The 15238-nt window shown below is 38.4% G+C and overlaps 1 protein-coding gene across 3 annotated transcripts in view, besides 1 other annotated feature; it reads left to right on the top strand.

Moving 5' to 3' along the window:
* Nucleotides 1–15238, top strand: part of NUP153 (nucleoporin 153) — a 91889-nt gene that overhangs the window by 31517 nt on the left and 45134 nt on the right. For all 3 annotated transcript variants that reach the window (NM_001278210.2, NM_005124.4, NM_001278209.2), the window contains exons 4-11: nucleotides 41–180; nucleotides 376–504; nucleotides 5863–5979; nucleotides 6072–6116; nucleotides 6381–6434; nucleotides 10024–10170; nucleotides 13339–13391; nucleotides 13630–13756. In NM_001278210.2, coding sequence (NP_001265139.1) covers nucleotides 41–180; nucleotides 376–504; nucleotides 5863–5979; nucleotides 6072–6116; nucleotides 6381–6434; nucleotides 10024–10170; nucleotides 13339–13391; nucleotides 13630–13756 — 812 coding nt within the window. The remainder of the gene's footprint in view (nucleotides 1–40; nucleotides 181–375; nucleotides 505–5862; nucleotides 5980–6071; nucleotides 6117–6380; nucleotides 6435–10023; nucleotides 10171–13338; nucleotides 13392–13629; nucleotides 13757–15238) is intronic.
* Nucleotides 9977–10271: a silencer, noted in NCBI's record as "tiled region #5716; HepG2 Repressive non-DNase unmatched - State 15:Elon". NCBI's record gives its function as "represses a minimal TATA promoter and a strong SV40 promoter by Sharpr-MPRA in HepG2 cells {active_cell/tissue: HepG2}" and the evidence as "EXISTENCE:reporter gene assay evidence [ECO:0000049][PMID:27701403]".

Raw genomic sequence — 15238 nt, 5'->3', positions numbered from 1 at the left:
TATTGGTGTTATTACTATGGATTATGTAATTTTGTTTCAGATATAACTGTTTCAAAGAACACTTCATTGCCACCTCTGTGGTCCCCAGAAGCTGAACGTTCTCACTCACTCTCACAGCACACTGCCACCAGCTCAAAAAAACCAGCATTCAACTTGTCTGCCTTTGGAACACTTTCCCCTGTGAGTACTAACTGGGTTGGATTTAATCACATTAGTTTTGAGTGTTTATTGCTTATAATTTTTTTTTTTTTTTCTGAGACAAGAGTCTTTTGCTGTTGCCCAGGCTTGAGTGTGTAGCAGCATGATCTTAACTCACTGCAACCTCCACCTCCTGGGTTCATATGGCTTATAATTTATCATTCTGTTTCTGTGCAGTCACTTGGGAATTCTTCAATCCTTAAAACCAGTCAGCTTGGAGATTCTCCTTTTTATCCTGGAAAAACAACATACGGTGGGGCAGCAGCTGCTGTAAGACAGTCTAAACTACGAAATACACCTTATCAGGTAGGTTCCAATAGAAGGGTTGATGATCTTTTTTTTTCTTTTTTTTTACACTTTAACTGGATAATAAATTACTTTGTGCTCAAAAAAATAGTTTTGATTTATTTTTTATTTTTCTTTTATTTATATTTTTTCGAGATGGAGTCTTGGCTCTGTCGCCCAGGCTGGAGTGCGGTGGCACAATCTCGGACCACACTGCAACCTCCGTCTCCTGGTTTCAAGCGATTCTCCTGCCTTAGCCTCCCAAGTAGCTGGGAGTACAGGCACATGCCACCACGCCCAGCTAATTTTTTGTATTTTTAGTAGAGACGGGTTTCACTGTGTTGGCCAGGATGGTCTTGATGATCTCTTGACCTCGTGATGCGCCCACCCCGGCCTCCCAAAGTGTTAGGATTACAGGCGTGAGCCACTGCACCCGGCCAGTAGTTTTGATTTAATATTGTTCTTTGGGAAAACAACAGCTATGGGTTATATTTTTTTCATTTAGGGTATATAAACATTATTTTAGACCTAAGTGAGTGTTTTATGTATTAGATATGTGCGTGTATCTCAAGAAATGTGATTCTTTTTTTTAAATGACGTATAAATTACACATACTACAATTTTTCATTGTTTTAGAGTATTTGAGCTTTAACAAAACATATTATTATGTATATAACCACTTCTACAATCAAATATTGATCAGACATTTTCATCACCCCAAAACGTTACCTTATGTATCTCTTGAGTCAACCCTTCTCCTACAACCCTCTGGCAACCACGGATCTGTTTTCTTTCTCTGTAGTTTTGGCCTTTCCAGAATGTCATATACGTTTAGTCATATGTAACCTTTTGAGTCTGGCTTATTCTACTTAGCATAATGCATTTGAGATCCATTTGTTTTTGCATCTTTTAATAGTTCCTTTTTATTGCTGAGTAGTATGGTTAGTACAGTTGGTTTATTATTCACCAGTGAAAAGACACTGAGTTGTTTCCAGTTTCTGGCAATTATGAATGAAGCTGCTATGAATGTTTTTTGTGAGCATTCATTTTCATCTCAGGTAAATACAAATACCTAGGAGTTGAATTGATGGGTCATATGGTAAGTATACAGTAAACTTTATAATAAACTGCCAAACTGTTTTCCAGAGTGGCTGGTACCAGGTTTCATTCTGACTGGTAATATAAGAGTTGCTGTTCATCCTTGTCAGCACTTGGTGGTGTCAGGTTTTTTGTTTGTTTTTGCTATTCTAGTAGGCATGTAGTGGTAACCCCAACTTCTGATTTTGATTTGTACTTCCGTAATGACTAATGATGTTGCATGTCTTTTCATGTGTTTATTTGGTGCTTATTTGCTATCAGCCTATCTTTTGGTGAAATATCTTCTTTGGTGAAGTGTCTGTTCAAATCTTCCACCCATTTAAAAATTGGGTTATTTTCTTATTAATAAATTTTGAGAGAGTTCATTTTTCAGGGTACAAATACTTTGTTATATGTTTTGCGAATATTTTCTCCCATTCTCTGGTGTATCTTAACAGTGTCTTTTGAAGAGCAGAAGTTGTTATTTTTTTTTTCTCTGAGACAGGTCTTGTGCTGTCGCCCAAGCTTGAGTGCAGTGGCGCACCCTCCACCTCCTGGGTTCAAGCAATTCTCTGCGTCAGCCTCCTGAGTAGCTGGGATTACAGGTGCCTGCCACCACACCTGGCTGATTTTTGTATTTTTAGTAGAGACGGAGTTTCTCACCATCTTAGCCAGGCTGGTCTCGAACTCTTGACCTTGTGATTCACCCGCGTTGGCCTCCCAAAGTGCTGGGATTACAGGCGTGAGCCACCGCGCCCAGCCAGAAGTTTTACTTTTGATGACATCTTTTGTGTGTGTGTGTGCGTGTGTGTGTATTCTTAATGGTTTCATGCTTTTGGTGTCGTATCTGAGATATTTTTACTATTATAATCCCATGTCACAAAGATTTTGTCTTATGTTTTCTTCTACAAGTTTTATAGTTTTAGGTTTTAATTTATGCCTATGATTCATTTTGAGTAGATTTTTGTGTGTGGTATGAGGTATTGGTCAAGGTTCATTTTATTTTCTAAATTAAAAAGTTTTTTTAAAAAATGAAAGGTAGGAGTCTTACTACGTTGCTCAGGCTGATCCTGAACTGCTGGGCTCAAGCAATCCTCCTGCCTCAGCCTCCCAAAGTTCTGAGATTACAGGTGTGCCTGGCCAAGGTTTTTTGTTTTTTGTTTTTTGTTTTTTTAACATATGGGTGTGCAATTGTTCTAGTGTTATTTGTTAAAAAGACTGTTCTTTGTTCATTGAATAGCTTTTGCACCGTCTTTGTTCTGTGTTTTTGTTTGAGACAGGGCCTTGCTCTGTCACACAGGTTGGAGTGCAGTGGCACGATCATGGCTCACTGCAACCAGAACCTCCTGGGCTCAAGTGATCCTCCCACTTTAGCCTCCTGAGTAGCTGGGACCACAGGCGTGTGCCACCATTCCCAGCTAAATTTTTTTTTTGGTAGTGACAGGGTCTCACTAAGTTGCCTAGGCTGGTGTTGTACTCCTGGGCTCAAGCGATCCTCCTGTGTTGGCTTCCCAAAGTGTTCGGATTACAAGCATGAACCACCAGGCCTGGCCTGCACCTTTGTTGAAATCCAGTTCACATGGCTTTATTTCTGGACTTTTGACCATCCCTCCCCCGACCCACCCATTGATCTGTGTGTCTTTCCTTTTGCCAACTGCACTGTCTTGATTGCCATAGGCTTCCCGGTAGGTCTTAAAATTAGGTGATGTGAGTAGTCCAATTTTGTTCTTTTTCAAGCTTGTTTTGGCTTTTTTAGGTCCTTTGCTTTTCTATAAAAATCTAAAATTGGCTTGTTTCTACAGTCTGCTAGGATTTTGATTGGAATTGCTTTTTTTATTTTTTAGATGGGATCTTGCTCTGTTGCCCAAGCTGAAGTGCTGTGGCATGATCTTGGTTCACTGCAACCTCCACCTCCCAGGTTCACACAATTTTCCTGCCTCAGCCTCCCAAGTAGCTGGGACTACAGGCACACACCACCATGCCCCACTAATTTTTGTATTTTTAGTAGAGACAGGGTTTTACCATGTTGGCCAGGCTGGTCTCGAACTCCTGACCTCAGGTGATCCGCCCACCTTGGCCTCCCAAAAGTGCTGGTATTATAGGTATGAGCCAGCATGCCCAGCCATGATTGAGATTGCATTTGAGTCTAAAGACCAATTTGGGGAGAATAGGCATCTTAACAAAATTGAGTCTTCCAAACCATGAACATGGTATATCTTCCCATTTAGGTGGTTTATAAATTTTTTTCATCAGTGTTTTGTAGTGTTCAGCATACAGATCTCGAACATATTTTGTTAGACTTATTTGTTAGACTTTTGTTATTTGGTATTAGTCAAGAATATGTAGCCTGAATAACTTTTATCTTTTCAGTGAATTGAGTTCATAATTTAAAATACGTTCCAGCAAAGAAGCTTCAGGCTCAGATAGCTTCCCTGGTGAATCCTACCAAACATTTAAGAAAGAAATAATACCAATTCTACACAAACTCTTATGTATAGTAGGAGAGTAGGGAACACTTCCCAGTACCTTTTATGAGGCCAACATTATTACCCCGAGACCAAAATCAGACAAAGACATTAGAAGACAGCAACAGACTATTATTTCTCATGAATTATAGACACAAACCTCAACAAAAATATTTGTAAATGGAATCCAACAAATTTAAAAAGGAAACTGCATCATGATCAAGTGGGGTTTATCCTGGGAAGGCAAGGTTGACTCAACATATGAAAATTAATGGGATTAGACCAGGTGTGGTGGCTCATGCCTGTAATCCCAGCACTTTGGAAGGCCTTAGATCACCTGAGGTCAGGAGTTCGAGACCAGCCTGGCCAACATGGTGAAACCCTATCTCTACTAAAAATACAAAAATTAGCCGGTTGCAGTTGGACGTGCCTGTAATCCCAGCTACTCGGGAGGCTGAGGCAGGAGAATCATTTGAACCTGGGAGGCGGAGGTTGCAGTGAGCCGAGATTGTGCCACCGCACTCCAGCCTGGGCAACAGACTGAGACTCTGTCTAAAAAAAAATAAAAAATAAAAAATTAATGGGATTTACCATGTAAACAATCTAAAGAGTACTATATGAACATCTCTATAGATACATAAAATATTTTTTAAAAATCCAACATTTAGTCATGATAAAAATTTTTGAACAAACCTAGGTATAGTTGAGATCCTTCTACCTGATAAAGTGCATTTACAAAAAAATCATCTGGCAACATACTTAATGGTATGAGGAAGCAAGCAAGGATGTCTGCTATCACTGCTACTGTTTAACATCATACTGCAGGTGCTAGCCAGTGCAGTAGGCACAGAAATCAATGCATGCAGATTGGAAAGGGTATTATTCCTGTAATATTTTTACTGTACACAGATAACATGCTTATCTACGTAGAAAAATCCAAAGAAAATACAAAAAAAGCCACCACAACTAATAAGCGAGTTTAACAGGGTCACAGGATACAAGGTCAATATACAAAAGTCTGTTGTATTTATATACATATATTGGCAGCAGTGACTATGAAATGCCTATATTTGAAGATTTTTGTCTTGTTTTTAGATGTTGTACTTGCTTTCCTGTTTATTCTCCCATATATAATTAACAGTAATTATGAGACTTATTTCTGAGTGTTGGTGGAGGACAGTATTCTGTTATTACCGAAGGGGTTAACAGAATGGTGTAAGTATGTAGAGAGCTTTTTCTAAAGCTTAAGCTAGCGTGTAGTACTTTTTTTTTTTTTTTTTTTTTTTTTGAGAAAGAGTCTCGCTCTGTTGCCCAGGCTGGAGTAGAGTGGTGCAGTCTCGGCTCACCACAACCTCCGCCTCCTGGGTTCAAAGCAGTTCTCCTGCCTCAGCCTCTCGAGTAGCTGGGACTGCAGGCACACACTGCCACGCCTGGCTAATTTTTTGTATTTTAATACAGATGGGGTTTCACCATGTTGCCCAGGCTGGTCTTGAACTCCTGAGCTCAGGCAGTCCGCCCTCCTCACACCTCCCAAAGTGCTGGGATTACAGACATGAGCCACCATGCCCGGCCCATACTTTCTTTAAAATGGTGCATGCTGTCTTATCATTCTTTTGTTATTGTAAAGGTAATTTCTCAATCAGAGAATTGGATTTCCAGTAAAGGCATAAAGAAAAAAATTGAACTTTTAATGATACCACCCAAAGATAAATTGCTGTTAATGCATTAAATCCTGTTTTACTTTGGACATCCATTCTATCTTGTAAATATTTTCACTGCATGAAATATGTGCCTTAGATTTTATGTTGCAACAAATAATATAGGGTTTACTTTACAGGCACCAGTTAGAAGACAAATGAAAGCTAAGCAACTCAGTGCACAATCTTACGGTGTGACCAGTTCAACAGCTCGGCGAATATTGCAGTCTTTAGAGAAGATGTCAAGCCCTTTAGCGGTAAATTTTTAAAATCACGATTAATACAGGAGTGTAACAAAACTTGATATTATTGAAAAATCTTAATTTTGTTATTTTTTCAACTTTAACAGGATGCAAAAAGAATTCCATCCATTGTTTCTTCTCCTCTGAATTCTGTAAGTTGAGATTTAAACCTTTTTACAAAATATTGTTCATACAAAAATTAGCCGGGTGTGGTGGTGCACACCTGTAGTCCCAGCTACTTGGGAGGCTGAGGCAGGAGAATCACTTGAACTTGGGAGGCAGAGGTTGCAGTGAGTCAAGATCGCGCCACTGCACTCCAGCCTGGGCGACAGAGTGAGACTCCATCTCAAAAAAAAAAAAAAAGGTATTTTTCATAACTCCCCATCTATTCTAATAGTGTTTTTTTTTTTTTTCAGCCTCTTGATAGGAGTGGGATAGATATCACAGATTTTCAGGCCAAAAGAGAAAAGGTAAAACTTCTTTAGCATTTAGTTATTTAAACTGTCTACAATTTTGTTGTGTTTAAAGTTCACAAGTATACAAATTGGATTTAGTTTAGACATTAGGGAACATGTTTGAAAAATAATATTCTTTTTTTTTTTGAGTCTCAGTCTCGCTCTGTCATCCAGACTGGTGTGCAGTGGTGCCATCTTGACTCACTGCGACCTATGGCTCCCAGGTTCAAGCGATTCTCGTGCCCCAGCCTCCCTAGTAACTGAGATTACAGGCACGTGCCATCATGCCCTGCTCATTTTTGTATTTTTAGTAGAGATAGGGTTTCACCGTTTTGGCTAGACTGGTCTCAAACTCCTGAGCTCAGGTGATCTGCCTGCCGTGGCCTCCCAAAGTGCCGGGACTAAGGTGTGAGCCACTGTGCCTGACCCTGAAAAATAGTATTCTTCTACTTGGACATTTTACTCTCTTCTGCAGTCCTCAGGACAATATTGTATATGTAGTAGATACTCATCCAATTTTTTTTTGGGCTATTCAGCATTTCCATCTTGAGGATCTTGACAGACTTTATGGCTTACTGTTACCTTTTGATAAATAAAAATAGGAGTGATCGGCCAGGTGCGGTGGCTTACGCCTGTAATCCTAGCACTTTGGGAGGCCCAGGCCAGTGGATCACTTGAGGTCAGGAGTTCAAAACCAGCCTGGACAACATGGTGAAACCCTGTCTCTACTAAAAATACAAAAAAAAATTAGCCAGGTGTGGCGGTGCGCACCTGTAATCTCAGCTACTCCGGAGGCTGAGGCAGGAGAATCACTTGAACCCGGGAGGCGGAGGGTGCAGTGAGCCGAGGCCGCGCCACTGCACTCCAGCCTGGGAGACAAAGTGAGACTCTATCTCAAAAAAAAAAAAAAAAAAAAAAAAGTTCAGTAAACTAAAGTCCTCATTGCACATCATCATCTTTGTATACTTTCCTCATTAACCAAAATTTTGTGAAATCTATTGTGTGTAGTAGAATTTCAATTAGGCAGATCTCTCATCAGCCAAACAAAATACTGTTTCAAGATAGTGGAACTGATAAAGTTGATCATTATATCTTGCTGCCCTTTTAATATATCCTATTTGCTTAAAATTAACTTTGGCGGTTACTGTGGGAAAAAAATACAATGTTTGATAGTTTGGGTTAAAGAGGTATCTTTTGTTAGTTTATTTATAGCTGGTTAAGCATCCTTCAGGGAAAGCAGACTGTTGGATTTTTCTTTTTTTTCTTTTCTTTTTGAGGCAGCGTCTCGCTCTGTCACCCAGGCTGGAGTGTGCAGTGGCACAGTCGCAGCTCACTGCAACCTCCACCTCCAGGGCTCAAGCAATTCTCCTGCCTCAGCCTCGCAGGTAGCTGGGACTACAGGCGCCTATCACCATGCCTGGCCGATTTTTTGTATTTTTAGTAGAGATGGGGTTTCACCGTATTAGCCAGGGTAGCCTTGATCTCTTGACCTCGTGATCCGCCCGCCTCGGCCTCCCAAAGTGCTGGGATTACAGGCGTGAGCCACCGTGCCTGGCTTGGATTTTTCTTTTGAAAACATTTCTTGGAATACCAAGTTCCTCAAAAGTAATTATTTAAATTATAATTTTATGAATTAATTGCAATGACTAAGATATTGATAAATTATTATCTGTAATGAAATTCTGATGCAAAGAAAGCTAATATTGAACTTTTTATTGGAAGAGTGTTGCTTCTCAATTTTTGGAATTACCTAGACATTTGGAATTAGGCAAGAAGGAATCTATTAGTAGTTTCTATGATGGGCTTAATTTAAGCTACTAGCTTTTCTCAACCCCTCATTTATATCAGGTTATTTTATAATAAGAGGTGAAATTTTAAAATTATGTCATAATGTAAGTTCTTATCAATAACAGTTTTACTAATGGTTGAGTATCGTATCCATAAAAGTTTATTAATGGGTGCTAAGAAATAAAAAGCCAGAATACAGTATCATAGCCCATGTTTCACAGATGTTATCAGAACAGTCTACAAAATAGACTCTCTTATTGAGTTGTATGTAAGGTCACATTTGCGAAGAGGTTTTAGGGAAGAGTTAGTAACCATACAGAGGCTTTGCCCTGGAAACCAATGTTGTTCACAGCTGCTGCTGAATGAAAGGACCTTATTCATAGGATTACAGTCTTTGGACAGAGTTAGAAGCTTCTGGCTTTATAGTGGTTTTATACCAACAGGATTTTTACTATGTTTCAGTTTAGCAAAGGACTGTTAACAAAACAGTTGGTGTACTTACATAATAAATTGAGTTCATTTTACAGTTTGGAAGTCTTAACAGTGATTTACCATTTAGACTTACATTGTAAGATTTTTGGTTTGGTTTGGTATTTAAATAACAATGGGGGAAATAACTTGGAGAGGGATTCGGTCACATTTTTGGGAGTTAAAATATTTTCATAGCTAGTTTTTTTGTTTGTTTTGGGAGACTGACTCTTGCTCTGTCTCCCAGGCTGGAGTGCGGTGGCACAATCTCGGCCCATTGAAAGCTCTGCCTCCGGGTTCAAACGATTCTCCTGCCTCAGCCTCCTGAATAGCCGGGATTACAGGCGCATGCCACCACGCCTGGCTAATTTTTACATTTTTAGTAGAGACGTTTTCACCATGTTGGCCAGGCTGGTCTCAAACTCCTGACCTCAAATGATCCACCTGCTTCGGCCTCCCACATTGCTGGGATTACAGGTGTGAGCCACCACGCCTGGCCCATAGCTAGTTTTAAAATATCTTATTTGCAGCTCAAAAAATATGGACAGTAATTCAGGGAAAATGTGACAAAAGTACATTTTAGTTCATGCATTTAAAATTCACTCTGGGCCAGGTGCAGTGGCTCATGCCTGTAATCCCAGCACTCTTTGAGAGGCTGAGGCAGAAGGATTGCTTGAGCCCAGAAGTTTGAGATCAGCCTGGGCAACACAGCAAGACCTAGTCTCCATTTAAAAAAAAAAAAAAAAGCCAGGTGAGTTGCCTCATGTCTGTAATCTCAGCACTTTGGGAGGTTGAGGCAGGCAGATTGCTTGAGCCCAGGAGTTTGAGACCAGCCTGAGCAACATGGCGAGACCCTGTCTCTACAAAAAAAAACCAAAAAAATTAGCCGGGTGTGGTGGCGCACGCCTGTGTACACAGGAGGCTGTGGTGGGAGGATCACCCAGGTCTCACCTACAGTGAGCTGTGGTCTGGGTGACAGAGCAGGAGTCCGTCTCTTAAAAAAAAAAAACAAAAAACTGTAAAAGGTTTGATCTGTAGTGCTGTTTTGAATATAGTTCCATTTTGTATGCATGCATGTGTGTGAAAAGTCATTAAGTCTGGAATGAAATATAGAGTATCCGTGAAGCCATTTTAGAATTATATGTGTGTATATTTATGTGCATAGGTATATGAATACATACCTTAGGTTCCATTATTATCAGTTTTTCCTCTTATTTGTTTGTATCTACTGTATATTTCTCTGGGAAATACTCATGGTCTTTAGGTCATGTTAGCTATTGTCAAAATTTAGATATGAATCATTGATTTATATGAAAATAAATGTTTTTGATTTCTCTTTACCTGTAAGGTGGATTCTCAATATCCTCCTGTTCAGAGACTTATGACCCCAAAGCCAGTTTCCATAGCAACAAATCGAAGTGTTTATTTTAAACCATCTCTGACTCCTTCTGGTGAATTCAGGAAGACTAATCAAAGAATAGATAACAAGTGCAGTGTGAGTATATGTATATTTCTACCAGTCTTTGAATATTGATTAGAATAAGTAAGACTAAATAATGTAAAATATAACTACCATTGTATTCTAGCAACTGTATAACACATAAAGGTTGTGAATTAGTGATGATTATGAATTGGTATGCTTTTAAAATAGCTGTCACCTTGATCAAATTTTTTTTTTTTTGAGACGGAGTCTCACTCTGTCTCCAGGGGTGGAGTGCAATGGCATGGTCTCAGCTCACTGCAACCTCTGCCTCCCGGGTTCAAGTGATTCTCCTGCTTCAGCCCCCCGAGTAGCTGGGACTACAGGCATGTGCCACCTCACCCAGCTAATTTTTGTATTTTTAGTAGAGACAGGGTTTCACTATGTTGGCCAGGCTGGTCTCGAACTCCTGACCTCAAGTGACCCACCTGCCTTGGCCTCCCAAAGTGCTGGGATTACAGATGTGAGCCACCGCGCCTGGCCACTACCTTGGTCAGATCTTAAGTTAGTGTTGACTAGTAAACTCTAGCATGTACCCATTGTTTAGGTTACATAATTTTGCCGGATTTGCTTTATCTGTTTCTTTCATGTGGTGGTGTTGAACTATCTGCAAGTAAATTTCAGACATTATCTTTTGAACCCTAAGTACTTTGATATGCATCTCCTAAGTACTTTGTCCTATATTATCCCATCTAAGAAAATTAATTCTAATTCCTTAAAATTATCTAATATCCAGTCCATATTGAAACGTTTTTCATAATTGCTTTTTTGAACCAGGACTCGAGCAAGGTTCAGATACTGCTTTTGGTTTTGTTTTTCCAGACCTCAAACCCTCACCCTGGCCACATTGGTTTCTGTTTCTTGAGATAATTCACATATCATACAATTCTCCTATTTAAAGTTTTCAATTCAGTGGTTTTAGCATGTTTGGAAAACACTTTATAAATAAAGTGGTGTCTGTGAGTTGTTCAACTGTTAAGCCATCATAATGGTAAATTTTAGAACATTTGTATTACCATCTCTCCCACCCTTTGAAAATCTCATACCCATACCCGTCAGTAGCCACTTAGCATAGTGTTTTCAAGGTTCATTCACGTCGTAGTATGTATCAGTACTTCATTTTTTCCCTTTTTATGGCTGAATAATATTTCATTGTAAGGAATACTAGATTTTGTAGATATTTCATTGTATGGATATACTAGATTTTGTTTTATCCATTAATCACTTGAAGGACATTGGGGTTGGTTTTACTTTTTGGCTGTAATGAATAATGCTCCTGTCAACATTTATGTATAAGTGTTTTTTTGTGTGTTTGTGTGTGTGGACATGTTTTTATTTCTCTTGGGTTTATACCTAGAAATAGAATTGCTGGATCATAGGTTTTTGAAGAGACCAGGCCAGTTGTCTTATAAAATGTCCCATAATCTGGGTTTGTCTGGTTTTTTGTGTCATTTAACTTGTATTTATTTTGTTTACTTAACACCTTATTGTTTATGCCTTTAGTTATATTTTATCTCATTTCTAACAACTCAATTTATTGAAAACCTTGAAACTTAGAAAGATTAGTACAGTGATTTGCCATGTATTTCTTTATGTTGATTCACCAGTCATTAACATTTTGTCATATTTGCTTTATCTCCCTCCATACTTTTAAGTTAACATTAAAATTTTGAAAAATATTTTGAACATAGTGTGATCATGGTGGCTCATGCCTATAATCCCAGTGCTTTGAGAGGCTCAGGCAGAAGGATCACTTGAGTCCAGGAATTCAAGACTAGCCCAGGCACCATAGCAAGACCTTATCTCTAGAAGAAATAAAAAAATTAGCCAGATGTGGTGGTGCGTGTCTGTAATCCTAGCAAGGCAGGAGGTTGCGGTAGGAGGATCACGTGAGAGCCCAGGAGTTCGAGGCTAAAGTGAACTGTGATAGCACCACTGCACTCTGGCTTGGGTGAGAGAGTAAGACCCTGACTCAAAATATATATATATATATGTGTGTGTGTGTGTGTGTGTGTGTGTGTATTTTTTTCTTTTTAGCATAATATTGGACTTCTACAGATTTGCAAGAAAAATTTCATGAACTTCACATTTTACTACATTTGCTCTATCTTTTTCTCTGTGTTCTTATTAACAAGGAGTTCCCTTACATAATGCATAGCAGTGGTCAAACCCAGAAACTTAACATTGGCACAACACTGTAATCTACAGATTCTATTTACATGTTGTCACTTGGCCTAAAAGAAGAAATTCTAACATCATGTCTTGCATTTAGTTGTCATGTCTCTTCATCTCCTTTAGTCTAGAACAGTTCCTTTTGTTTTTTGTTCTTGTTGTTTTGTGTTTCACAATATTGATAATTTTGAAGTATAGAAGCCAGTTATTTTGTAGAATGTTCTGCAGTTTTATGATTGTCTGATGTTTCCTCATGATTAGATTTCAGTTACCTACTTTTGGCAGTGAAGACCGTTGAGGGAGTGTGCTGAGCTGTTCTCACTGTTCAGAAGGCACAGGCTACCAGTTTGTCCCATTCCTGGCAGTGTGGTTATTACATAAAGTGGTGTCTGTGAGGATTCTCTACTATAAAATTACTATTTTACCTTTCGTAATGAATAAGTATTTTGTGGGAAGGAAACTTCCCAATTATATTCTTTTCAGCCACTAGTGTTAGCATTATTGATGATTCTTGCCTGTATCTTTTTGAGCACTTAATTGGTTTTTGATATTATAAGATAATTCAGGCTCATCACATGCATTTCCTGCCCCAGCCCTGTAATCAGCCATTTTTCCAAGAAGTCTTGATTCCTTTCAGTGGAAGTATTAATTCTTTAAGTTGTAGGGAGCTATTTCGAAAGGAATAGCTTTGTATATTTGGTTGCACAATTAACAGGACAAAAAGAGGGATAAGTAAAGTAATTTTGTGGTTAGGTTAGTGAGTGTATTGTCTGTATACTACCATTTTATTAAAATAATGATTGTGCTCACTGACATTTTTCATATATATAATCTCACTGTAACTCTTGGTTACCATTCAGAAGGCAGGGTGTAATTTCAAATTTCAGGATTCATTAACTAAAAAGCCATCAAATTCCTGATTCTAAATATTAAAATTAATAGGAAGCAAGGTGGTACTAAGAAAATTACAACAAATAAGCAAACGTAAATATGTGTGTATTTCCCCTGCAGACTGGATATGAAAAAAATATGACACCCGGACAAAATAGAGAACAACGAGAAAGGTACTGTCATTTCTTATACAGCTATACTTCTTTATATTTAACTTGTAAGGTCTGTATTTAATTTACATGTACCTTTTTGAAGATTAAAATCAAAGAACAGAAACTTTATATAAAGAAATCTAAGATTTTAGAATCACGTTCAGCTGTATATTTTTTTTTTACTTGTTAGCAGTTCTAGTTAACAAGTTATGGACCACAATAATATATCAGTTGTTTTAATTTTCTTTTTATTTGCCAGTGGCTTTTCATATCCAAATTTCAGTTTGCCTGCAGCCAATGGTTTATCTTCTGGAGTAGGTGGTGGAGGTGGCAAGATGAGACGAGAAAGAACACGCTTTGTTGCTTCTAAACCTCTGGAGGAGGAGGTAGGGTTGTATACTCATATACTCTTGAGGTTTATTTAAAAAGCATTGGTGTGGTGGTGGTAAGGGGAGACCTGTAGGGGTGGGGTTCGAAGAGACCCAGAGCAAAATTAATCTGCTATTGAATCAGTTCTTTCAAAATGCATGCTGAAAACCTAATCTAGTACCTTAAATTTCATGGGTATCATAGAACAAAACAAAACTACCCATACTTTTTCAAATAAGGGAATTGCAATTGAAATTATTTGACCCTTGGTATTACTGTATAGTTTTGTCTGTTTGTAAAACATACGTAAATAAGTTCATAAATAGGATTAATACTATACGTATTCTTCTTTTTTTAAGATACAGTCTTGCTCTGTCGCTCAGGCTGGAGTGCAGTGGCGCAGTCTCGGCTCAGTGCAACCTCTGCCTCCTGGGTTCAAGCAATTCCTGTGCCTCAGCCACGCAAGTAGCTGGGACTATAGGCATTTGCCACCACACCTGGATAATTTTTGTATTTTTAGTAGAGATGGGGTTTCACCATGTTGGCCAGGCTGGGTCGAACTCCTGATGTCAAGTGATCCACCTGCCTCGGCCTTGCAAAGTGCTGGGATTACAGGCGAGAGCCACCGTGCCCTGCCTGTCTTCTTCTTGCTTGCCTGTTTCTCCTTTTTTGATGTTGTATTGTGAAAGGTAACTGTAAGTTTTTTAATTTCACTGCTTATATATTTATCCAGTTTGAAGATTTACCGTAATCCATTCTGCCATCAGGATACATTTTGGTAGATTTCTAATACACATTAAAGTGAATATGCACTTTTCTGTCTGCACACGTGCAGTATTTTCTCTAGAGTATTTATCTAGGAATGGAATTGTTGGATTATAGGGGATGATCCACATCTTCTGCTGTATTAGATGTTGCCATGTTTTCTCTTCAAGATAGTTTTGCAGTTCAACATTTCCACCATATGACAATAGATAGATCTTGGGGCATCCTTTTGTGTGTTTTTTGGACATTTGAGTTTTCTCTTGATCCATTTTTTTCCTATGGGGTTATTTCCTGTAGGGATATATATATAATTTCTTATATGTATATTAAGAAATATGTATGTATATGTATATATAATTTATTATTAGAAAGAGTTCTCTATATATTCTGACCATAAATGTTTGGAAAAGATAGGGACAGATTTAAGATTGGTTACATTAACCTTTCTGTCTATATATTGCTCTTTTTTTCTAACTACTTTAAGTTGAATGCAAGTCTCATTTTAGTTGTATTATAAATGCATTTCAGCTTAGCTTAACCATTTGAGTTTTGATACATAGTCCTTGTATTTGTCATTTGTTTCTAATTAAAATTTCACCAGTGACTCCCTCATTGACCAATGAGTTTTAGGAGTATATTTTTAGCTTTTTAAACATGCTTTTCCTATTTATATTGACAGAAACAAAATCATGTTTTGGTTGAAGTTGTTGGATGTCTTAGATTTCTTCATGCCT

The sequence above is a fragment of the Homo sapiens genome, chromosome 6, assembly GCF_000001405.40.
Source record: "Homo sapiens chromosome 6, GRCh38.p14 Primary Assembly".
In the NCBI taxonomy this organism is placed as follows: Eukaryota; Metazoa; Chordata; class Mammalia; order Primates; family Hominidae; genus Homo; species Homo sapiens.
The sequence above is the reverse complement of the archived record's forward strand: the minus strand, read 5'-3'. Positions and strand labels throughout refer to the sequence as shown.